Source organism: Homo sapiens, chromosome 12 (assembly GCF_000001405.40).
Source record: "Homo sapiens chromosome 12, GRCh38.p14 Primary Assembly".
Classification (NCBI taxonomy): Eukaryota; Metazoa; Chordata; class Mammalia; order Primates; family Hominidae; genus Homo; species Homo sapiens.
In genome coordinates this window covers 51,279,158-51,304,232 of record NC_000012.12, presented here as the reverse complement: position 1 = coordinate 51,304,232, position 25,075 = coordinate 51,279,158, and the positions used below count along the sequence as shown (strand labels likewise).

General features: G+C 44.1%; 1 protein-coding gene across 9 annotated transcripts in view; it reads left to right on the top strand.

Annotated features, from left to right (window-relative positions):
• The window catches only part of BIN2 (bridging integrator 2), a 43,631-nt gene extending 20,436 nt beyond the window's left edge, over window positions 1–23,195 (top strand). For 2 of the 9 annotated variants that reach the window (NM_001290007.2, NM_016293.4), the window contains exons 3-13: window positions 1,092–1,146; window positions 1,453–1,547; window positions 2,118–2,213; window positions 4,519–4,626; window positions 4,945–5,030; window positions 7,069–7,144; window positions 8,355–8,437; window positions 11,889–12,642; window positions 16,045–16,125; window positions 19,446–19,517; window positions 22,705–23,195. In NM_001290007.2, coding sequence (NP_001276936.1) covers window positions 1,092–1,146; window positions 1,453–1,547; window positions 2,118–2,213; window positions 4,519–4,626; window positions 4,945–5,030; window positions 7,069–7,144; window positions 8,355–8,437; window positions 11,889–12,642; window positions 16,045–16,125; window positions 19,446–19,517; window positions 22,705–22,734 — 1,536 coding nt within the window. In that variant the 3' untranslated portion in view covers window positions 22,735–23,195. Of the gene's footprint in view, window positions 1–1,091; window positions 1,147–1,452; window positions 2,214–4,518; window positions 4,627–4,944; window positions 5,031–7,068; window positions 7,145–8,354; window positions 8,438–11,888; window positions 12,643–16,044; window positions 16,126–16,200; window positions 16,350–19,445; window positions 19,518–22,704 lie in introns of those variants that run through there. The other 7 variants (XR_001748746.2, NM_001364779.1, NM_001290008.2 and 4 more) reach the window with 7 other exon arrangements.
• Window positions 23,196–25,075: the final 1,880 nt, after the last annotated feature.

Below are 25,075 nucleotides of genomic sequence, written 5' to 3'. Positions count from 1 at the left end.
TGTCACCGAGGCTGGAGTACAGTGGCGTGATCCGATCTCAGCTCACTGCAGTCTTCGCCTCCCAGGTTCAAGCGATCCTTCTACCTCAGCCTCCTGCGTAGCTGGGACTACAGGTGTGCGCCACCACACCCAGCTAACATTTGTATTTTTACTAAAGACAGGGTTTCACCATTTTGACCAGGCTGGTCTCGAACTCCTGTCCTCAAGTGATCCGCCAGCCTTGGCCTCCCGAAGTGCTGGGATTATAAGTGTGAACTGCCACGCCCAGCCAGAAAAAGTTTTAACAGAGCTAGTTTAAAATCAAGTGATACTGTCTCAGGCAAGACATTAGTTTCCAGTTTCTGGAAGTATTGGGAAGCAGAGGCTAAATGAACATTTGTCAGAGTTATAACAAAAGCAGTTCATCTACCAGATTGAGATTTGAACTTCCAAGTCTAAATAATACCTTCCTCTCCTTTTTTAGAGGGAGGAGGAGCCCTTGTCTGAACTTGGGGTTCCTAGCCTAAAAAAATGAGATTTCAGACACAGGAGCAAAGATGGAAGCAGGGATAGATAGAGCTATAGATGAAGACATTCGGGGTGGAACAGGAGAAGCAATGATGAGGCTCCTTGGAGTAGTATAAAAGGTGACTGATGGAAGGGAAGGGTAAAGTGAGACAAGTCAGAGAAGGATATTGGGGAGGAGAGGAATGTCTGTGTGAGGGTTCAGAGAAAGAAGAAGGCCTGGTGTCTGCAGAAAATGGTAGCACTTTACCCAGAGAGGAGGGTGCAAGCCAGAGAATTGCATAGATAGTGTTACATGGAGAACACTTACCTTTCAACAGTGGAACTTGGGTATAGGCTCTTGTTCACTGAAAGGAAGACGCCAGTGTAATGGGAGCTTTAGCAAGCACCCATCTTAAAAACTAACACAAAAGAGACCACCTACAACAGGTTGGTAAAGAAAGTAAAGGCTGACTTATAACAATTGTGAATATTTAGAGAAATTCCAGGTGTGATTTCTGCTCTTAACCTACTTTTTGACTTTGACCTCTGGAGCATCTTTTGAAATATTAATCTCTTTAGTCACCAAATGTACTTTTCTCTTTCAGGCAGAAGGCCACAAGCTGTACAAGGACCTGAAGAACTTCCTTAGTGCAGTCAAAGGTGGGCAATGCAGCATGGGAGAATCCAGAGGGCATTTATACAGCTACTAGGAGGTTTGGGGTGGAAAACAATAGCCATACCCCCAGGTTTTTGTCATTTTATCATTTGACTACTCTTGACTCCTGGAATTTTGTGGGCTGAGGAAGAGTGACTTTTCCTTTCAGCCCCATCCAGCTTTCCTCACTTATATAACCTAAACCTTCTGAGTTTGTCCTTCTGAATTGGAACCACTGATTTGTCACCCATGTGATTACACCAACTACTGTTGGGGAAACATGATGGTGGGACTGAATTCTCTCCTTTCAGTGATGCATGAAAGTTCAAAAAGAGTGTCAGAAACCCTGCAGGAGATCTACAGCAGCGAGTGGGACGGTCATGAGGAGCTGAAGGCCATCGTATGGGTAAGAGTGGCTTGAGTTTTACAACTTATTGGCACTTACTCCTGTTTGCATCTCAACCTCAGCTTAGCTTCTCTATCCAAGAAAATAGGAAAACAAAGGAGCCAGTTCACACTGTGCATTTGTGTAGCCTCAGTCACTGGGTGGTAGGAAGAAGCTACAACTGTTAAGGTAAAAACAAGTTTTCCCTAATCTGTGGATCCCTCTAATTTTGACCCTCTTCTCCTCTTTAAAACATTATGGGAAGTTTTACCTCCTAAAGATTGGTTGTTTTTTAAAACAAACTTCATGCAGTTATACACTCTTAAACTTTCCCATCTAAGCTCTGGAGTCCAAGGCTTTGACCTTGTGCCCTGTTCTTAATCTCTGAATGTATGTTCAGACTCCCATAGAGCAGTTCCTTGGGGTAGGGGCTGTCTCTTTTCTTCCTCTGACTAGTCCCCAGAATCCAACATGGTATTCTAAATACGGTGCTACAAAAAAGGTTTTTGCAGGGAGAATTTGGGTATTTCCCTGGTAGGCAGTTGTTGTTGGGAAGTGGAGCCTTCACCAGCCTCTGACTCTATCCTACAGAATAATGATCTCCTTTGGGAAGACTACGAGGAGAAACTGGCTGACCAGGCTGTAAGGACCATGGAAATCTATGTTGCCCAGTTCAGTGAAATTAAGGTACTCAATGTACAGAATCAAGGCTGGGTTGTGGATGACCCATCCAGGTTAGAGAACATATTGGGTTAAGCATTATAAGTAGAATTAGAACTCACGATTAAGAATGAAGTTTGGGTAAGTTAGGAGAAAGATTAAGGTTGAGGGTTAGACAAGAGGTTAGGATAGAAGGTTGGAAGTAGTGTGAAGTTTATGTTTAAACTTAGATTTCAAGGCTGGGTGCAGTGGCTCACACCTGTAATCCCAGTACTTTGGGAGGCCGATGCAAGAGAATCACTTGAGCCCAGGAGTTCGGGACCAGCCTGGGCAACATGGCAAAATCCCATCTCTACAAAAAATACAAAAAAAAATAGTCATGTGGTGGTGCGTGTCTGTAGTCCCAGCCACCCTAGGAGACTGAGGTGAAGGATCACTTCAGCTGGGGAGGGAGAGGTTGCAGTGAGCCAAGATCATGCCACTGTGCGCCAGCCTGGGTGACAGAGGCTGGTGTCTCAAAAAAAGTAAATAAATAAAATAAACTTAGATTTCAGTAAGCTATATTTGGGCTGATTTCGAATTAGATCCAAGTTAGAGGCATCCCTTTTAGCTGTGAGAAACAGCTGATGGCACTAAAGATGTTTATTGTATAGAAGAGGAAACATGGAGCAATCAAATAGTTATCTTCAAATATTTGAAAGTCTGTTAGGTAAAATAGGAATTCAACCTATTCTAAACTGTTCTGCTTTCTGTTCCAGAAAGCAGAATTAGAATTCATCTATTCATTCAGCTAGTTTTTTTTTGTTTTTGTTTTTGTTTTCTTTTTTTTGAGATGGAGTCTTGCTCTGTTGCCCAGGGTGGAGTGCAATGGCGCAGTCTTGGCTCACTGCAACCCCCGCCTCCCGGGTTCTAGGGATTCTCCCGCCTCAGCCTCCCGAGTAGCTGGGATTACAGGCATGCGTCACCAAGCCCAGCTAATTTTTGTATTTTTAGTGGAGACAGGGTTTCTCTGTGTTGTCCAGGCTGGTCTCAAACTCCTGACATCAGGTGATCCGCCCACGGCCTCCCAAAGTGCTGGGATTGCAGGCGTGAGCCACTGCACCCGGCTCTAGTATTTATTAAACACCTACTCTGTCAAGCACCGTGCTGATTCAGAGGAAGAAGTTAGAAGGAGGCTGACTTAAGTTCCTAATAGTTAAAGCTTTCCAAAAATGAAATGAAATAGACTCAAAGATAGTGAGTTGTCTGTTCTTTGTGCAAACAGAAGTCAAACTACTTCTTATCTTGGATGTTATAGAGAAGCCTCATGGTATTGTATGGGAAATTGGACCAGATAATTGCTAAGATCTTTTCAAATTCTGTGACTGAGAGAATGAAACGGTTCAAAGACATAGTTTGCTTCTCACTGGTATAATTTATAGTTTGGATAAGGCTGAGTAGACTTTCTCTCAGTGGTCATAGTAATTTATAGCTTTTATTGTGTTTTAGAGCTTTCAAAGCACTTTGTATTCAGCATTCACTCTTTCAAATAACAGTTGTATAAGGGGAGATGGGGCTACTGAGGCTCCAAAAGAGATGTGCCTTGCCACTGGCCACAGGCTATGAATGGCAGATTTGGGACTAATTCCCAAAAATCCAGACTTTCACTTTCATGTGATTCTCAAGGCCATTTCTCCTGGAGGCTGAACCAGTTTATAATGGGTTCATAGGAAATATTAAAATTTAATACAGCGGGAGGTGGAGGTGGAAATATATATATGTATTTAATTATATATCTATTACATATATATAATTAATACAGATTTCCACATGCTCTGTAGGACTCTATCTCCCTCTGAGACTCCCCCATTCTTCCCAGATACTGAGGGAGACCCCATGGGCGCAAAACCCTATTAGAAAGTGAAATTTGGGCCAGGTGCGGTTGCTCCTGCCTGTAATCCCAGCACTTTGGGAGGCCGAGGTGGGCATATCACATGAGCCCAGGAGTTCGAGACCAGCCTGGCTAAGATGGCAAAACCCCATCTCTACTAAAAATGCAAAAATTAGCCGGGCTTGGTGCACATGCCTATAATTCCAGCTACCTGGGAGGCCGAAGCACAAAAATTGCTTGAATCTGGGAGGCAGAGGTTACAGTGAGCTGAGATCGCACAACTGCACTCCAGCCTGGGCAACAGAGCAAGACCCTGTCTCAAAAAAAACAAAAGCAAAAAACAACGAAAGTGAAATTTGATAGTAGGATGCAAGAATCTTGCTCTCTGTTTGGTATTCTGTTACCTACATCCTGGCCACTAAAAAGTGAGTATCCACACCCTTTCTCATTACCCTGGGTCAGGAGAGAATTGCCAAGCGGGGTCGGAAACTCGTGGACTATGACAGTGCCCGACACCACCTGGAGGCAGTGCAGAATGCCAAGAAGAAAGATGAGGCCAAGACTGCCAAGGTAAAACAAAAACAACAACAAAAACTGGTAAACCCTTCCTGTTCTCCTTCTCCCCATGGTGGTAGCAGGTGGCTGGGCCAACATGGGTATAGGAAATTATAAATTCAGCATCCAGTGTCCTAAAGGAAATCTGTTTCTTCTGACACTGATGCTGTAAGGATAGTCAGAGTCTTGAGGCTGGGGAGGGCATGGTCAGGGGAAGAAGAGGGATGGCTCCTAAAAAGCCTAGTGCCTAAAAAAATGCAGAGGATGAAGGAGGCATGCTGTAGTACTGGGTTCAGAATTGAGGGAGATTGTCTTGTCTCTTTTACCACCTAGGCAGAGGAAGAGTTCAACAAAGCCCAGACTGTGTTTGAAGATCTGAACCAAGAACTACTAGAGGAGCTGCCTATTCTTTATAATAGGTAATGACTGAAATTCAGAAAAGGTGCCTTTGCTTCACACAAGGCACCTTGTGTGCCTTGACAGTAAGTAGATAAAAGTGTTTTAGATTTAAATTCCCACACTGCCCCGCCCCCTTTTTTTTTTTTTCGAGACAGGGTCTCACTCTGTCACCCAGGCTAGAGTGCAGTAGCACTCAATCTCAGCTCACTGCAACCTCCACCTCCCTAGTTCAAGTGATTGTTGTGCTTCAGCCACCCGAGTACCTGGGATTACAGGCATGTGCCACCATGCCTGGCTAATTTTTTTTTGTATTTTTAGTAGAGATGGGGTTTCACCATGTTGCCCAGGCTGGTCTCGAACTCCTGGCTTCAAGTGATCCCCCTGCCTTGGCCTCCCAAAGTTCTGGGATTACAGGCGTGAGCCACCATGCCCAGCCAGATTTTCCACATTTAAAGAGAAATCTAAGCAGAAACTCCATTTGTATCCTTTTTTCTTTTTATTGTACAAGAGATGCATTAATAGAATTATGGTCAGAATATTTTATATTGTCACTTATTAGTGTACATAGGATGGAGCCTTTTTAATGAACACATGTATTCTAAAACATTATGTGACTCCTAATTAAAATGAAATTGAAATTTTATTTTTTATTTTATTTTATTAATTAATTAATTTATTTATTTTGAGACAGGGTCTCATTCTGTCACCCAGGCTGGAGTGTGGCTCACTGTAACCTATGCCTCCCGGGTTCAAGCAATTCTCCCACCTCAGCTTCCTGAGTAGCTGGGACTACAGGCACGTGCCACCACACCTGACTAATTTTTGTTTTTGTTTGTTTGTTTGTTTTGTTTTGAGACAGAGTCTCACTCTGTTGCCAGGCTGGAGTGCAGTGGCACAATCTCGGCTCGCTGCAACCTCCACCTCCCGGATTCAAGCGATTCTCCTGCCTCAGCCTCCCAAGTAGCTGGGACTACAGGCGCGTGCCACTAAGTCCAGCTAAGTTTTTGTATTTTAGTAGAGATGGGGTTTCACCATGTTGGCCAGGATGGTCTCAATCTCCTGACCTTGTGATCCGCCTACCTCAGCCTCCCAAAGTGCTGGGATTACACGCGTGAGCCACCGTGCCTGGCCATTTTTGTATTTTTTGACAGGTTTCACCCTGTTGGACAGGCTGGTCTCAAACTCCTGACCTCAGGTGATCTACCTGCCCCAGCCTCCCAAAGTGCTGGGATTACAGGCATGAGCCACCGTGCCTGGCCTAGAAATGAAATTTAATACAGTTTCTTTAAAAGTATACCTCCTTGATTCACTTACAGGAGAATTCCATTAATGTACATACAGGCGCAGAAGTCATCCTGTATTGCATAAAGGGAAAGAATAATTACTTACTGTAATAGTTATAATTAGATAGCCTTATATTTATATAGCCCTTTAAAAAATTATTCAAAGCCCTTTTATGTCTCCTCAGCCCTTCAAGAGCCCAAATCAGATAACTCCATGAAACTGTTAAACTTTGGTGTCAGCCTGAGCTGATATTGTCTCCCCTGGCCTTCCTGCTCCTAAGAATCACGTGTGTTCCTGGCCCAGCTCTGACGAATCCAGATCCCAGAACATCCTGAGTGTGGGATGTGGGATGGCTTTCTTTTTTTATTTTTTAAAATAGAGTCTCGCTCTGTCGCCCAGGCTGGAGTGCAGTGGCACGATCTCGGCTCACTGCAACCTCTGCCTACCAGGTTCAAGCGACTCTTTTGCCTCAGCCTCCTGAGTAGCTGGGACTACAGGCTCATGCCACCACGCCCGGCTAATTTTTTTTTTTTTTAGTAGAGACGGGTTTTACCATGTTAGCCAGGATGGTCTTGATCTCCTGACTTCATGATACGCCCACCTTGGCCTCCCAAAGTGCTGGGATTACAGGCGTGAGCCACTGTGCCCAGCGGGATGGCTTTCATTTAGGAGCCTTGGTGGCTGGTTTTGGCTTAAGTCCTACTTTGTATTTCAAACAAAGAACTCCTTTCCCATGCCTTACTCGTATGTGTTTGTGGTTTTGCTTCCTAATAGTCGTATTGGCTGCTATGTGACCATCTTCCAAAACATTTCCAACTTGAGGGATGTCTTCTACAGGGAAATGAGCAAGGTGAGAGGTGTCTGGCCAATTGAGGCTCCTAGGTGTGTTTTCTAGTAAATATGAAGGTAGCCTTGACTTACATGATTTCTTTAAATATCCGTATTGGCACCACAGATTTTGGCTTTTCTCTCATGATGAAATAAGAGCACTTGATTGTGTACTTAACTGTATTGAAACACATATATACACTATCCGAGGGCCCTCTTCATCTCCCTTAACAACTGAGTAAGTGTGTCCAAATTTGAGCTTTAGCATGAATAAAGGAGGTTAGGCCTATAGAAGGAAAAATTAAAATGGGGAACCCCATTGTGAAATATCTATCTATTGTTGCTGGGGACTGGAGAGGGCAGTGTTTAAGGACAAGTCAGTTTCTCAGGTGGTTGGTCTCAAATAAGACTAATCCTGTCAGTGACAGGCAGCCATATAACATAATTTATGAAGTCTTTTCTAGTCCTGGGATTCCAAGATTCTTTGCTACTACAACATTTATATTAGTTATATTCACAAACAGCTATACATACTACTCTCCATAGTTTATTTGGCTAAAGTATGATTTGCCTAGTTAATATTAAAAATGAGGTTTTTTGGTTTTTTTTTTTTTGAGACGGAGTCTTGCTCTGGCACCTAGGCTGGAGTGCAGTGGCGCAATCTCTGCTCACTGCAAGCTCTGCCTCCCAGGTTCACGCCATTCTCCTGCCTCAGCCTCCCGAGTAGCTGGGACTACAGGTGCCCACCACCACGCCCAGCTAATTTTTTTGTATTTTTAGTAGAGACAGGGTTTCACCATGTTAGCCAGGATGGTCTCGATCTCCTGACCTCGTGATCCGCCCACCTCGGCCTCCCAAAGTGCTGGGATTACAGGCATGAGCCTGTAAAATGAGTTTTACATTTTTAGGCGCCTGGCCTAAAAATGAGTTTTCATTCCCTGGATCACCTGTGAGAAGCTAGAACCTCAAATCAGACATCAGTTATGGACCCTGCCTTGAGACAGCTGCCAGTCTGATGGAAGAGGCAGAACTTAGAACACAGAGAGACAGGGAAGAGGGGGTGGCGGGACAGGACCCTGGACTCTAATGCTAGACAGATGAAGAGGAATTCACATCAGAATTGAAAGGGGGAGGTTTTATTTTGGGAAGCTGTCTGAAGGGGAGGGGAGAAGGGATATGCCACTCTCGGGTTCCCAGTTGGCTAGCATCCCCTTCTTTCTTATTGGCTCTAGCTGAACCACAATCTCTACGAGGTGATGAGCAAACTGGAGAAGCAACATTCCAATAAAGTCTTTGTGGTGAAGGGACTGTCAAGGTGAGCAGCATCCAAGACTTTTTTGCTTCGCTTGTCCTGTGTGTGAATGTATTCAACATCCTCATCTCCAGTCCAGAATCCTGACCTGTCCCTTATGTGCATGTGCGTGATGATGTTTGTTGTTTGTACTATGCTCCTATATAAATTATTTTGCTTTTTACTAAATATATATATATATATATATATATATATATATATATATATATATATATATATATTTTTTTTTTTTTTTTGAGACGGAGTCTCACTCTGTCGCCCAGGCTGGAGCGCAGTGGCGCGATCTAGGCTCACTGCAAGCTCCGCCTCCCGGGTTCATGCCATTCTCCTGCCTCAGCCTCCTGAGTAGCTGGGACTACAGGCGCCCGCCATCACGCCCGGCTCATTTTTTTTTTTTTTTTTTTTTGTATTTTTAGTAGAGATGGCGTTTCACCGTGTTATCCAGGATGGTCTCAATCTCCTGACCTCGTGATCCGCCCGCCTCGGCCTCACAAAGTGCTGGGATTACAGGCGTGAGCCACCGCGCCCGGCCACTTTTTACTGAATATTTCAAGGCCAGACAATGGTGGCTCATGCCTATAATCCCAGTACTTTGGGAGGCTGAGGCAGGAGAATTACTTGAGATCAGGAGTTTGAAACCAGTCTGGGCAACATAGTGAAATCTCATCTCTACAAAAAAAGATTAAAAGAAAAAAAAAATTAGCCGGGCAAGGTGGTGCGTAACTGTACTCCTAGCTACTCAGGAGGCTGAAGCAGGAGGATCACTTGAGTGCAGGAGTTTGAGGGTGCAGTGAGCTATGATCATGCCACTGCACTCCAGCCTGGATGACAGAGCAAGACCCTGTCTCTAAAAAAATTAATAAAAATTAAATATTTTAGACATAACCGAACGTATAAAGAATAATACAACAAATAGCCATGTACCTACCATCAAATTTAAGAACTTGGCTGTTGTAAATATAGCTGAAGTTCCCAATGTTCCTTCCCCACTCACTTTTTCTTTCTGACCCCACTAAAGGTAACCGCTATGTTACATTTAGTATTTATCATTTCTATGTGTGTTGTTTTATGTGTGCATGTATGTTTCACACATAAAATAATACGCATGGAAATAAATACTAAATGTAATACTAAATGTAACATGCACACACTGTATTGTTTCACACATACATGCACACATAAAATATTGTTTTGCATGTTTTTGGGGGGTTTTTTTTGTTTTTTTTTTTTTTGAGACAGGGTCTTGCTCTGTCACCCAGGCTGGAGTGCAATGGCACAATCTTGGCTTACTGCAACCTCTGCTTCCCGGGTTCAAGCAATTCTCCTGCCTCAGCCTCCAGAGTAGCTGGGATTACAGGCACATGCCACCACACCCGGCTAATTTTTGTATTTTTAGTAGAGACGCGGTTTCACCATACTGGCCAGGCTGGTCTTGAACTTCTGACCTCGTGATCCGCCCGCCTTGGCCTCCCAGAGTGCTGGGATTACCGGTGTGAGCCACCACGCCCGGCTGTTTTGCATGTTTTTAAACTTTATATAAATGGACTTATACTGTATGTATTGTTCTGCAACTTCTTTTGTTCTCTTAGTGTTGTTTGTAAGATTTTTTGTTATTGCTACATGTTGTTATAATAGCTCTGCTGTTTCCTTTCTATAGTTGTTACTGTATGCCTACTTCATGATTTATTTATCCTCCTGCTAGTTTGGGGCATTTGAGTTGTCTTCTAGGTTTTTGCTATTATAAATAATGTTGTGATGAACATGTTTTACATTTGTCCCTGTGAATATTATCAAGAGTTTCTTTAGGGTCTATACTTGGAGCAGGATTGTTGAGTCATAAGGTCTGTCATGGGGCTTCTTGACCCTTAATGAGATATTTCCATATTGCTCTGCAAGGTGATAATTCCAGTTTACCACCCATCAGCAGTGAGTAAGAGCCCTCATGAGTCCACATTCTCACTACATGTGAAATTGTCAGACTTATTCATTCTTACAAGCTCATGAGTATAAAATGGAATTTTTTTGCAGTTTTAAATCATAGCTTCATAATTGCTAGTTTCCTTGAGCATCTTTTCATGTTATTGGCCATTTAAGGTTCCTGTTCTGTGACTTTCCTATATATCGTTTTCCCATTTTTCAATTGGGTTGTTGACCTTTTTTAAAAAAATCGATCTATGTAAGTTTTTGTGCCAGGCACGATGGCTCACGCCTGTAATCCCAGCACTTTGGGAGGCCGAGGCAGGTGGATCACGGGGTCAAGAGATCGAGACCATCCTGGCTAACACAGTGAAACCCCATCTCTACTAAAAATACAAAAAAAAATTAGCTGGGCATGGTGGCGGGCGCCTGTAGTCCCAGCTACTCGGGAGGCTGAGGCAGGAGAATGGCATGAACCCGGGAGTCAGAGCTTGCAGTGAGCCGAGATCGCGCCACTGCACTCCCGCCTGGGCGACAGAGCGAGACTCCATCTCAAAAAAAATAAAAAAATAAATAAAAATAAGGTGGTTTTTTTTTGGCTGATATATTCTAGATTCTAATCTTGGATGCTCAAGGATAAGCATGGCATCCAGCACATAGCAGCTACTTGATAGATGTTATAGTTGATTCTTGTTGTTCATGGTAGTTTTGTTTTATAAAGTTGCCATACTCACTGAACATCAAAACACAGGTTTCTGTGAGCCCCTGGTCACAACATTTTCATCAACCACCCAACATATAACCTTGTTTTATGTGAGTTTCTGTTTAAAGATACCTTATTTAATATATATTATTAATTTATTAATATTGAACTCACAACCAGCAGCATTGTAACTCATGCCTGAATGAAGCTTACCTAATAATACATGTATTTTCTCTGGAAGGCACATCACAGTCTTTTTGCACTTAGCACTACAGCTTGGGGGCCATTTAAAGTAGCAAAATCACCAGCAAAAAGCACAAAGTTAGGAAAACATGGTGGAAAGGACATTTGTTTACAGTTTGAGAACGGAAGCAAGAAGGTAGATGATTGCCTTGTTAGACTTCATCTGGAAAGTGCGTGCCAGGCAACTCATTCTTCACCACTTGGGCATCTCCAATAGTGACTGGGAAAGTGCCACAAGTATTGATTTGGGGGTTCCAAATAAATAAGTAGGTAATTCACAGATATGAAATCTGTGTAGTTCAACTGTATATCACCCATTAATCTTTGCCCCAGAGGAAATATTTGCGACATTTTGCAGTGTTTCTTTCCAGTCTCTTTCTCTGTACATATTTTTACATAATTGAGTTCATGATATAGATAAAATTTTGGCCTTTTTTCATTTCACTGTATAAGTGTTATTGTAAATTATGCAAACTTTCTAACATTTTAAATTGCTTTATTCTTTTTTTTATTACATGCATCGTAAGTTTTGCATATTTACATTGCTTCTGGTTTTTAGCCGTTCTGAATCTGAACACCTTCCTTTTTTAGCAGCAGCAGGCGCTCTTTAGTCATTTCTCCCCCAGTTCGAACAGCTACAGTCTCCAGTCCTCTTACCTCACCTACTAGTCCCTCTACACTTTCCTTGAAGAGTGAGAGTGAATCTGTCTCAGCAACTGAAGATCTGGCACCTGATGCAGCCCAAGGGGAAGACAATTCTGAGATCAAGGAGCTCTTAGAAGAGGAGGAAATAGAGAAGGAAGGATCTGAAGCAAGCTCCTCTGAGGAAGATGAGCCTCTACCAGCCTGCAATGGCCCCGCCCAGGCCCAGCCCTCTCCTACCACTGAAAGGGCCAAGTCCCAGGAGGAAGTTCTCCCCAGCTCCACAACTCCATCACCAGGCGGAGCCCTGAGCCCTTCAGGGCAGCCTTCATCATCTGCCACAGAAGTAGTCCTCCGAACCCGCACCGCAAGTGAAGGATCTGAACAACCAAAGAAGAGAGCCTCTATCCAGAGGACCTCAGCACCCCCTAGTAGGCCTCCTCCACCCAGAGCCACTGCAAGCCCCAGGCCCTCCTCAGGGAACATACCTTCCAGCCCTACAGCCTCTGGAGGGGGTTCACCCACCAGCCCTAGGGCCTCCTTGGGGACTGGGACTGCAAGTCCTAGGACCTCCCTAGAGGTCTCTCCTAATCCAGAACCACCAGAGAAGCCAGTAAGAACTCCTGAGGCCAAAGAAAATGAAAACATCCACAATCAGAACCCTGAAGAACTTTGTACTTCCCCCACCTTAATGACATCTCAGGTAAGAGTAGTTCTGGTTGGGTATTTAATTTAATTAATTTATTTATTTAAGCTAGGGTCTCACTCAGGCGTCCAGGCTGGAGTGTAGTGGTGCGATCACAGCTCATTGCAGTCTCGACCTCTCAAGCTCAAGTGATCCTCTGCCAACAGAGATAGGGTCTCCTTATGTTGCCCAGACTGGTCTTGAATTCCTGGCCTCAAGTGATCCTCCTGTCTTGGCCTCCCAAAGTGCTGAGATTACAGATGTGAGCCACTGCACCCGGCTCTGGTAGGGTCTTTATATCCTTTTATAACCTCCATGTAGGTATCTTTACTATAGTCAGAATACTCTTGGACACCTTTTTTGGTTTTGGGGATTGTTTCATGTCTTCATAGCTATTAATTTAGTAATCTACTTTTAGGGTAATTGACTTTTTTTTGTTTGTTTGTTTGTTTGCTTTTTTGAGATGGAGTCTCGCTCTGTCACCCAGGCTGGGGTGCAGTCATGCAATCTTGGCTCTCTGCAACTTCTGCCTCCTGGGTTCAAGTGATTCTCCTGCCTCAGCCTCCAGAGTAGCTGGGATTACAGGTGCACGCCACCACACCCGGCTAATTTTTGTATTTTTAGTAGAGACGGGGTTTCTCCATGTTTATTTTTTGTTTTGTTTTGTTTTGTTTTTGAGACGGAGTCTCGCTCTGTCGCCCAGGATGGAGTGCAGTGGCACGATCTCTGCTCACTGCAAGCTCCGCCTCCCGGGTTCACACCATTTTCCTGCCTCAGCCTCCCGAGTAGCTGGGACTACGGGTGCCGGCCACCATGCCTGGCTAATTTTTTGTATTTTTAGTAGAGATGGGGTTTCACTGTGTTAGTCAGGATGGTCTCGATCTCCTGACCTTGTGATCTACCCGCCTCAGCCTCCCAAAGTGCTGGGATTACAGGGGTGAGCCACCTCGCCCAGCTGGTTTCTCCAAGTTGGGCAGGCTGGTGCCGAACTCCTGACCTCGTGATCCGCCTGCCTCGGCCTCCCAAAGTGCTGGGATTACAGGCGTGAGCCACCTCGCCCAGCCAGTAATTGACTTCTATAAGGGGCTTATCTCTAGTAGTGTTAATGAGCAGATTCTTACTAATTTCTTTCTTTTCCTCCAAGTTCTGGGAGTTCCTAGTATAAAGAACCTTTAGTTGAAGCCGGGCGTCGTGTCTCACACCTGTAATTCCAGCACTTTGGGAGGCCAAGGCAGGCAGATCACTTGAGGCCAGGAGTTCGAGACCAGCCTGGCCAACCAACATGGTGAAACCCTGTCTCCATTAAAAATACAAAAATTAGCCAGGCATGGTGGTGTCTGTAGTCTCAGCTACTTGGAAGGCCTGAGGCACAAGAACATGAGAATCACTTGAACCCAGGAGGCAGACGTTGCAGTAAGCCGACATCACATCACTGCACTCCAGCCTGGGCAACAGAGTGAGACTGTGTCTCAAAGAAAAGAAAAAGAAAAAGTTAAAAAAAAATTAATACAAAATAAAATAAATAAATAAATAAATAATAAATTCAAAAAAATAAAGGACCAATAGTTGGAATCCTGAGCTTTACCTTCTTTAGTGGGGGCAGGAGGGTGGGTCTCACTTCAGTTCATTATACCTGTGACTATGGTAAATAGACCCTGAAAAAAAATGGCAGCAAATTTCCAGGGTGTGTCTTCTCTGATGAGAAGACCTAGAAGCAGGAACTCACAGAGGGAAGTAAAGCAAAAAGGACAGCCTTTTGAAAAGGCTGCTCCTTACTTGGGAGGCTGAGACAGGAGGATTGCTTGAGCTTATGAGGTCGAGGCTGCAGTGAGCACTACTACACTCCAGCCTGGGCACCAGAGTGAGACCCTATCTCAAAAAAAAATTTTTAAGTCTTGAAAAAAAATTGAGAGATGCCAACCCATTGAAGAGCAACTAGTTCTGTGAAGGATCTGTAAATCAAGTCATACTCTTTTTTTTCTTTCTTTCTTTTGAGACAGGGTCTCACTCTGTCACCCAGGCTGGAGTGCAATGGCATGATCATGACTCACTGCAGCCTTGACCTCTCTGGGCCCCAGTGATCTTCCCTCCTTAGCCTCCCACGTAGCTGGTACTACAGGCGCATGCCACCATGCCTGCCTCATTTTTGTATTTTTGGTAGAGATGGGGTTTCGCCATGTTGCCCAGGCTGGTTTCAAACTCCTGGGCTCCAGTGGTCCTCCCATCTCCGCCTCCCAAAGTGCTGGGCTTACAGGTGTGAGCCACCGTGCCCGGCCTCAAGTCATATTCTAGTCACATTATATGGAAAGACTATCATATAGGGATTTGACTTGTTCTGTGACACTCCAGAGGGCAGAGGCAGAAACTACATATAAAGACTTTTTTTTAAGATACATTTTGGAACAATACAAGAGGAACTTTCAACAATTAGCTCAATTTTTTAAATGGGATGGGAAAAAAGTATTGTGGAAGGGCAAAGGAGACACAAGGGGCTGATCAAAAAAAATATGGGATGGGCCGCCTTGAAAATTAGTTCTCTTTCCTTGATGTTAAGAGCTAAGGGCCGGGCGCAGTGGCTCACGCCTGTAATCCCAGCACTTCGGGAGGCTGAGGTGGGCGGATCATGAGGTCAGGAGATCGAGACCATCCTGGCCAACATGGTGAAACCCCGTCTCTACTAAAAATACAAAAAGTTTGTTGGGCATGGTGGTGTGTGCCGTAATCCCAGCTACTCGGGAGGCTGAGGCAGGAGAATCGCTTGAACCCAGGAGGCAGAAGTTGCAGTAAGCCAAGATTGTGCCACGTTGCACTCCAGCCTGGCAACAGAGCAAGACCCTGTCTCAAAAAAAAAAAAAAAGATCTAGGATAGATTATCTCCAGTCAGGTACATTGTAGAGAGGATTATGGTGAAATGTCTGACTAGATGGCAACAAGATTTATTCATTCTACAATTACTTACTGAGCCCCTACAGTGTGCCTGGGACTTTTCTAGGAGGTGGGGTATGACAGTGAACAAAACAAAATACCCTGCCTTCCTGAGGCTTATATTTTAGTGCGGAAGACAGACAAAAAAAAAGAATAAATAAAATTACAATCTAGTAATGATAAGTGATATGAAGAAAAATTAAGTAGGGAAGGACACAGGGAGTGGGAGCTGAGTTGCAAGTTTATAGAGCAGTCAGCGGTGACATGTGAGCAATGAAGAAGGCTAGCACATGAGCCATGTGTATATCCGGGAGAAGTGTGTGAGATTTCTGACACTCGTTAGATCACACCACCCTACTACTGCCTGTGTCTGACCAAGGCTACCTCGGGAGCCTCCTGATATCTGAGAGGAGCTAATATGGACCAAGGGCACAGGGATGGCCCCCAGGTGGAAGGTGTGGGACTCTCTCCTCCATTGTTCACTTTGATTCACAGGTTGCTTCAGAGCCTGGAGAGGCAAAGAAGATGGAAGACAAGGAAAAGGATAATAAGCTTATCTCAGCTAACTCCTCGGAGGTACTAAAAGCCTAAGTCATCTACATGATGATGCCCTATTTTTTTGTACATTAAAATTTATTTTTCTTTTTCCAGAAGTATATCTTTCAGAGGCCTTCAGTCTTGATTCACATGAAGCACTGAGGGCCCTAACAGAGCAAGATGTAAAACTTGTCCTGGCCGGGCGCGGTGGCTCATGCCTGTAATCCCAGCACTTTGGGAGGCAGAGGCGGGCGGATTCCCAGGTCAGGAGATCGAGATCATCCTGGCTAACACGGTGAAACCCCGTCTCTACTAAAAATACAAAAAATTAGCCGGGTGTGGTGGCGGGTGCCTGTATTCCCAGCTACTCGGGAGGCTGAGGCAGGAGAATGGCATGAACCCGGGAGGTGGAGCTTGCAGTGAGCCGAGATTGCGCCACTGCACTCCAGCCTGGGTGACAGAGCGAGACTCCGTCTCAAAAAGAAAAAAAAAAAAAACTTTTCCTAGGCCGGGTGCAGTGGCTTACGCCTGTAATCCCAGCAGTTTGGGAGGCCGAGGTGGGCGGATCACCTGAGGTCAGGAGTTCGAGAGTTTGAGACCAGCCTGGTCAACATGGTGAAACCCCATTTCTACTAAAAATACAAAAATTAGCCGGGCATGGTGGCATGTGCCTGAAATCCCAGCTACTGAGGAGGCTGAGGCAGGAGAATTGCTTGAACCCAGAAGGCGGAGGTTGCAGTGAGCCGAGATCTCGCCATCGCATTCCAGCCTGGGCAACAAGAGTGAAACTCTGTCTCAAAAAAAAAAACAAAAAAAAACAACTTTTCCTTAAGTCAGGCTCACTGATGCAAGCCTGTAATCCCAGCTACTCAGGATGCTGAGGCGGGAGGATCACTTGAGCCCAGGTGTTCGACACTGTAGTATGCTACGATCACACCTGTGAATAGCCACTGCACTCCAGCTTGGGCAACATAGTGAGATCCCATCTCTTTAAAAAAAATTTAATAAAAAGATTTGGGTGCAGTGCCTCAACCTCCCAAGGTGGCTGTAATCCTAGCACTTTGTTGGGGGCTGAGGCAGGTGGATCACTTGACCCCAGGAGTCTAAGATCAGCCTGGGCAACATAGGAAAAACCCATCTCTACAAAAAATACAAAAATTAGCCAGGCGTAGTGTCACATGCCTGTGGCCCCAGCTACTTGGGAAGCTGAGGTGGGATCACCTGAGCCCAGGGAGGTCAAGGGTACAGTGAGCCATGATCACGCCACTGCACTCCAGCCTGGGCAACAGAGTGAGACCCCATCTCAAAAAAAGATTTTTTAAATAATAAAAATGACTTTTCCTTGGTCAGTTTCTAGTCTGAGGCAGCTGTGCTGATGGAGAGAGATAGGCAGGACATGTGGAGAGTGAATAAGTGCAGGATAGATGCGGGGTTTTGAGTAGGTAAGCATAGCCACTTCTCATTTTTCTGCACTGAAAAGAGCAACTCAATGGTTGAATTGATTTCAATTTGATTTTATAATGTATTATATGATTTTAGATGGAGACAGTAATAGAGTGACTTTTTGATTGCCTCTGGGGAATGATAAAACAAGCTTGCATTCTTGGAGTCATCTTTTTGAAGGGAGGAGTTTATAGGAGCCAAGACTCTTTCTGACCATTTTAAGAAACAGGCTAGTAACACTGTCCTCCCTGGAAAAGAGGTACAGGATACACTCTCCTTCCGCCTGAGTCTGTCTCCTTATATTTTAGATTTATAATATTTCCTTACTCTTAGCCTCTCTGGTGGGATTGCTTTGGTCATCAGCTAAGGAGAAATATTTTTCCTGTAGAATTAAGCAACTAGAGCATCTTAGATCCTAGCCTATTCGTGTCATCAATCCTCTGAAGCCTGTGTATGCTCACTTCCCTTGCAGATGCATTATAAATCATATTTTCTCTCAGGCAGAATTATGGACATGTCACATGTAAAAATGGGTAAATATAAATATAACTGGGAAAAAACATAGCCATTTTTGAAAAAAAATTACTGGGAAAAAATCTGTTCTTGCTTACCATTTGAATCATCTCAGAGAGATGGAAGGTTTTGATAACTTTCCGGGAGGTGATGTAACATCACCTCTGAGCTAATTCATGACCTGGAAAGGGAGGAGGGAGTAAAAAGAAAGAAAATGTCCTTGAAGGAGAAATCTTGGAATTTCAAGTGGCTATCACACTGTTAGAAATTGGTTCTGTTGGCCAGGTGCCATGGCTCACACCTGTAATCCCAACACTTTGGGAGGCTGAGGGGAGTGGATCACTTGAGGTTGGGAGGTTGAGACCAGCCTTGCTAACATAGTGAAGCCTCATCTCTACTAAAAGTCAGGCATGGTGGTGGGCGCCTGTAATCCCAGCTACTTGGGAGACTGAGGCAGGAGAATCGCTTGAACCTGGGAGGTGGAGGTTGCAGTGAACCAAGATCACGCCACTGCACTCCAGCCTGGGTGACAGAGCCAGATTCCTTCTCAAAAAAAAAAAAAAAGAAAGAAAGAAAAAATTAAAAAGAAATTGGTTCTGTTTTTAAAATATGAATTTATAGTTTGTAAATTAAATTTCATGTTTTAAAAACTTATTTTAAACCTCACAGGGTCTTCCCCTAGCATAGCAGTTTCTAGGCAGGGCTTTCTTTCTTTTTTTTAAAATTTATATTTTTAGAGATGATCTCACTATGTTGCCCAGGCTGGAGTGCAGTGGGTATTCACAGGTGCAATCATAGTGCACTGCAACCTTGATACTCCTGGCCTCAAGTGATCCTCCTGCCTCAGCCTCTCAAGGAGCTGGGACTACAGGTGTGCACCCCTGCACGTGGTCTAGACTGGGCTTCCTACACCTTGGGTTCCCATCTCAGAACCTAAAATTTTTCCCAAAGAAATTATTTTACCACTTGCTTCTCCTAACTGCGTGTCATGAATTAGGATCACTTAAGTGTGAGAGTTGCAGTACATTCTTGAGGACGGTTCATCTAAAAGTGGCAGGTAGTAATTTTAAGACCTCGCACTCCCTTATAGATACACATCCACACCATGTCACACAGATTACATGGTGTTTGATCATGGAAACAACTCAGGAATTCAAAGACCTGGTTTCCTGTCCCAGCAAGTCTTTTTACCCTTTGAATCTTAGTTTATTCATCTGTAAAAGAGGATGGATGAAAGCCTTTCCCGATGCCTTCAGGCTCTGGTGAAACAACACTGTATTTTGCCCTTTGTAATAGTACAAATACTGAGACCCTTGTAAAGTATAAGGCACAGAAGACACTTCTATGCTGAGAGGCTGGAAAGGTTGAGCCACCTCTTACTGGCAGAACTCTTCTCTTTGTAGGGCCAAGACCAGCTTCAAGTCTCCATGGTACCAGAAAACAACAACCTCACAGCACCTGAACCTCAAGAAGAGGTAAGACCAGATATACAGAGAATAGATTGGGCATTAGATTGACAGGGGTTTGGGAAAAGGCTGGAATCTTCACCACAGGCTACAAGGGGAATCCGGCAGTGAACCATACCCTTAGGGCAGTCAAGCAGGTGGGAATCAGAGGAAACAAGAATGAACTGGGACTTCGTGGTATCTCCGTGCCCATTTTCCTATACTTGACCTTAAACTGGCCCTATCTTCTAGGTATTTATTTAATTAAATCTCAAATTATTTCAAAAAGGAGTTAAAGAGGTTAAGATATTTTTTTTAAATGCAAAAAGGTCATATTATACAGTAATGTGTTGCTCAACAACAAGGATATGCTCTGAGAAATGCATTATTAGACGATTTTGTCATTATGTGTGGCTGTATGGTATAGCCTATTGCTTCTAGGCTGCAAACCTATACAGCATGTTACTTTACTGAATTCTGTAGGCAGCTGTGACACAGTGGTTAATATTTGTGTATCTAAACATAGAAAAGTACAGTAAAAATAGCATATAGAAAATAAAAAGTGATACACTTGTATAGGGCACTATCATGAGTGGAGCTTGCAGGAGTGGAAGCTTCTCTGGGTGAGTCAGTGAGTGAGTGGTGAGTGAATGTGAAGGCCTAGGACATTACTTACACTCCTATAGACTATAAACACTGTACACTTAGGCTACACCATTAAAAAATATTTTTCTTTTCTTTTTTTTTTTTTTGAGACGGAGTTTCACTCTTGTTGCCCAGGTTGGAGTGCAATGGCATGATCTCGGCTCACCGCAGCCTTGGCCTCTGGGTTCAAGCAATTCTCCTGCCTCAGCCTCCTGAGTAGCTGGGATTACAGGCATGCGCCACCACGCCCAGCTAATTTTGTACTTTTAGTAGAGACGGGGTTTCTCCATGTTGGTCAGGCTGGTCTCAAACTCCCGACCTCAGATGATGCACCTGCCTTGGCCTCCCAAAGTGCTGGGGTTACAGGCGGGAGCCACCACACCCGGCCAAAAAATATTTTCTTTATATCCTTATTCTGTAAGCTTTATTCTGTATTTTTTCTGTTTCTTTTTAAAACTTTTTTTGTTAAAAACTAAGACACAGAGCTGGGTGTGTTGTGGCATGTGCCTGTAGTAGTTCCAGCGATGCAGGAGGCTGAGGCAGGAGGATCACTTGAGCCCACGAGTTCAAATACAACCTGGGCAACATAGCTAGACACCGTCTATAAACAAGTAAATAAAAACACGCAAACATACACATTGGCCTACGGTCAGGATCACCCATATCACTGTCTTCTACCTTTACATTTTGTCCCACTAGAAGGTCTTCAGGGCACTACCACAAATGGACCTGTCATCTCTGGTAATAACAACGCCTCTTCCTGAAGGATCTACTTGAGGCTGTTTTACAGTTAATGTTTTTTTTAAATAAGCAGAACTTTTTTTTTTTTTTTTTTTTGAGATGGAGTCTCTCTCGGTCGCCCAGGCTGGAGTACAGTGTACAGTGGTGCAATCTCGGCTCACTGCAACCTCCGCCTCCTGGGTTCAAGCGATTCTCCTGCCTCAGCCTCCTGAGTAGCTGGGATTACAGGCGGTGGCGCCACCATGCCTGGCTAATTTTTGTATTTTTGGTAGAGACAGGGTTTCACCATGTTGGTCAGGCTGATCTGGAACTCCTGACCTCATGATCCTCCCGCCTCAGCCTCCCAAAGTGCTGGGATGCTGGGATTACAGGTGTGAGCCAACGCACCTGGCCAATTAGCAGAACTTTTTTTTTAATAAGTAGGAAACACACTAAAATAATAATAAAAAGTATTGTAGGCTGATGTGGTGGTTCATGCCAGTAATCCCAGCACTTTGGGAGGCTGAGGCAGGCAGATCACTTGAGACCAGGAGTTCAAGACCAGCCTGACCAACATGGTGAAACTCCATCTCTACTAAAAATACAAAAATTAGCCGGGCATGGTGGCACGCACCCGTAATCCCAGCTACTTGGAAGGCTGTGGCATGAGAACATGAGAATCACTTGAACCCGGGACAAAGAAGCTGCAGTGAGCCAGGATTGTGCCACTGCACTCCAACCTGGGCAATGGAGTGAGACTGTGTCTCAAAAATAATATATATAGAAAAATATTTTTAAAAGCATAGTATATTAAATACATCAAGTAATATAGTTGTTTATTGTTATCAAGTGTTATGTACTGTACATAATTGCATGTGCTATACTTTTTACAACTGGCAGCACTGTAAGTTTGTTTATACCAGCATCATCACAAATATGTGAGTAATGTGTTGTGCTGTGATGTTATAAAGGCTACAATGTTAACAATAGCTGCCACATCACTAGGCAATAGAAATTTTTCAGCTCCATTAAAATGTTATGGGACCACCTTTGTATATAGAGTCCATTGTTGATCAAAATGTCATTATGCAGCATGTGAACTGCATATATATATGTTTATTATATTAACATACACACATATACACAACATACAGCAGAAAAACTCAGAATTATATGAGACAGGATAGTGATGTAAAATGGAGCCATGAATTAGGCAAGTATAAAAAATGCATTCTATAAAATAAGCTTACTAAGGATGACCATGAAATTGGTTCCAGACTTTCTAAAATCCAAGAAGAGAAAAACCTGATCAGTTAACCCAATTCACAATGCTCATTCCTTAAGGAGGCTAGGTGCCGGGGCTCACACCTGTAATCCCAGCACTTTGGGAGGCTGAGGTGGGAGGATCACTTGAGCCCAGGAGTTCAAGACCATTCTAGGCAACAAATTTTTTTTTTAATAAATTAGCCAGGCATGGTTGTGTGCGCCTGTAGTCCTAGCTACTCAGAGGCTGAGGTGAGAATACTTGAGCCCTGGAGTTCAAGGCTACAGTTAGCTATGATTGTGCCACTACACTCCAGCCTGGGAGACAGAGCAAGACTATGTCTCAAAAAGAAAAAAAAAGAAATTCTCCTGTGAATCATCATAAAGATATTGTGAATGATGTAATGAACAATATCTGCAACAAGTCCTTGCAATAATCCCAACAACCAGTTTCACATTGCCTCCCTCAAGAGAGGCCAGTGGCATTACATGAAGTATAATTCAGTAGAAGCAAACTGAGTTTAACCCCTCCATAAGTGGTTGGTGGGAAGGCAGGTCAACACCTAACACAATCATGTTTACTTTCCAGGTATCCACAAGTGAAAATCCACAACTCTGAAGAGAAACTACCAAGACTCCTCCTGCCCCAAACCTCGCCAGAGAAGCTCTTCAACCAGAGGGTATAGGTCAGAGGGATATAAGAGCCAGCATCCATCCCTGGGTTCTCAGTAGGAATGCTGGTGCTGTCTAAAGACCTGGCATTAATGGAGGCGGAGGAGCAGCCTTACGGGAGGGATGGAGGGAGGCAGGCTGGGGAGAAGAGAACATTAGACTCAGGGAATATTTAATTCTGGTTTTAGCATTATTAGAATAAGACTTTATACATTAACTAAAGTGGAGCTTTAATCACTATAAAAAGCAAAAGTATCTATAGACACAGACACTTGCCTATACAGAGACATAACCACACACACTCAGAGGATAGTGAACAAATCTGTCTTTGACTTACGACCCATTTTGCAAGACTTAAAGCCGGAAGAACACATTTTCAGATTGTTAAATAAAGTCTGATTCTGACTATCTGTGGATTGTTTATTTGACAAAGGGCATTGTTGCAACCCAGCACACTGTTTTCCACTTAGGTATGGTTATTGATTCTGCCCCAGGTTCAGAAAGGTTTAGTCACATCCCTGACCCCCAGCTCACCCTAACTCCTGACTGTAATTCTTTTATGATACCAAGGGCCACAGACTCTTCTCCTTAATCCTGCATGTGCTCCCCACTCCCCACTTTGGTTGATAAACAGATACACTTGGAAAGGGGTAATAACATTTTAGAGCTATATCTGGTGTTTACAATTTAGTACTTGGTATGAGTAAGGGTCTGAGCACAAGAGAGGAAGATATGAAACTGAAAGGATACAAAGTATAATAATAACAATCATATCGGCTGGGTGCGGTGGCTCACAGCTATAATCCCAGCACTTTGGGAGGCCGAGGCCGGTGGATCGCCTGAGGTTGGGAGTTCGAGACCAGCCTGACCGACATGGAGAAACCCTGTCTCTACTAAAAAAATACAAAAGCAGCCGGGCGTGGTGGTGCATACCTGTAATCGCAGCAACTCGGGAGGCTGAGGCGGGAGAATCGTTTGAACCCAGGAGGCGGAGGTTGCAGTGAGCCAAGATTGTGCCATTGCACTCCAGCCTGGGGAACAAGAGTGAAACTGTCTCAAAAAAAAAAAATCCTATCCTAGAAATGGCATGAAATTTGGAGTCAGAAGTCCTGGATTCTTTTGGGAGGCCAACAGGGGAAGACTGCTTGAGCCCAGGAGTTGGAGACTAGCCTGGGCAAGATGATGAGACCTCTATCTCTTATTTTTAAAAAAAATTTTAAAGGGCTGGATGTGGTGGCTCACACCTTTAATCCCAGCACTTTGGGAGGCTGAGGCGGGAGGATAACCTGAGCCCAGGAGTTTTACACCAGCCTAGGCAACATAGACCCCCATCTCTACAAAAAATTTAAAAACTAGGCCAGGCACGGTAGAGCGCACCTATACTCCCAGCCACTTAGGAGGCTGAGGAGGGAGGGTCACTCCAGCCTGGGAGGTTGAGTCTGCAAGGAGCAACGATCATACCACTGCATGCCAACCTGAGTGACAGAGGGAGACTCTGTCTTAAAAAGAAAAAGAAAAAAAAAAAAAAAGGCCGGGCACGGTGGCTTACACCTGTAATCCCAGCACTTTGGGAGGCCGAGGCAGGTGTATCACAAGGTCAAGAGTTCAAGACCAGCCTGGCCAACATGGTGAAACCCCGTCTCTACTAAAAATACAAAAATTAGCCAGGCGTGGTAGCGCACACCTGTAGTCCCAGCTACTCAGGAAGCTGAGGCAGGAGTATTGCTTGAACCTGGGAGGCAGAGGTTGCAGTGAGCCAAGATTGCGCAGCCTGGGTGACAAAGCAAGACACTGTCTCAAAAAAAAAGAAAAAATTAAAAAAGGAAGTCTTGGATTCAAGTCCTATCATTACTTTATATGAAAATATTTGTGACATTTTCAAAATAGCTCTGAAGTCCTGCCAACTTGATAAATGCCACATAAATGCCAAAACCTTTCCATCCTTGCTCTTGTTTTTAGAGGTGATGATATCACCATTCGTTCAGTCATTCTGCAAGCATTTACTGAGCATCAACCGTCTACCAAGCACTGAGTACCAGTACTAGGAACCAGGGAAACAATGATGAGGGGTGTTAAAAATAAGATATTTAACGAGACAGAATATTGAGCAAGGAGCAGAATGGGCAAGATTTAGTGACGGGCTAGAAGGGCACACATGATGAAAAGTGAGGTGTTTTTCTTTTGTTTTGTTTTGTTTTGTTTGAGATGGAGTCTTGCTCTGTTGCCCAGGCTGGAGTGCAATGGTGCAATCTCGGCTCACTGCAACCTCCGCCTCCCTGGTTCAAGTG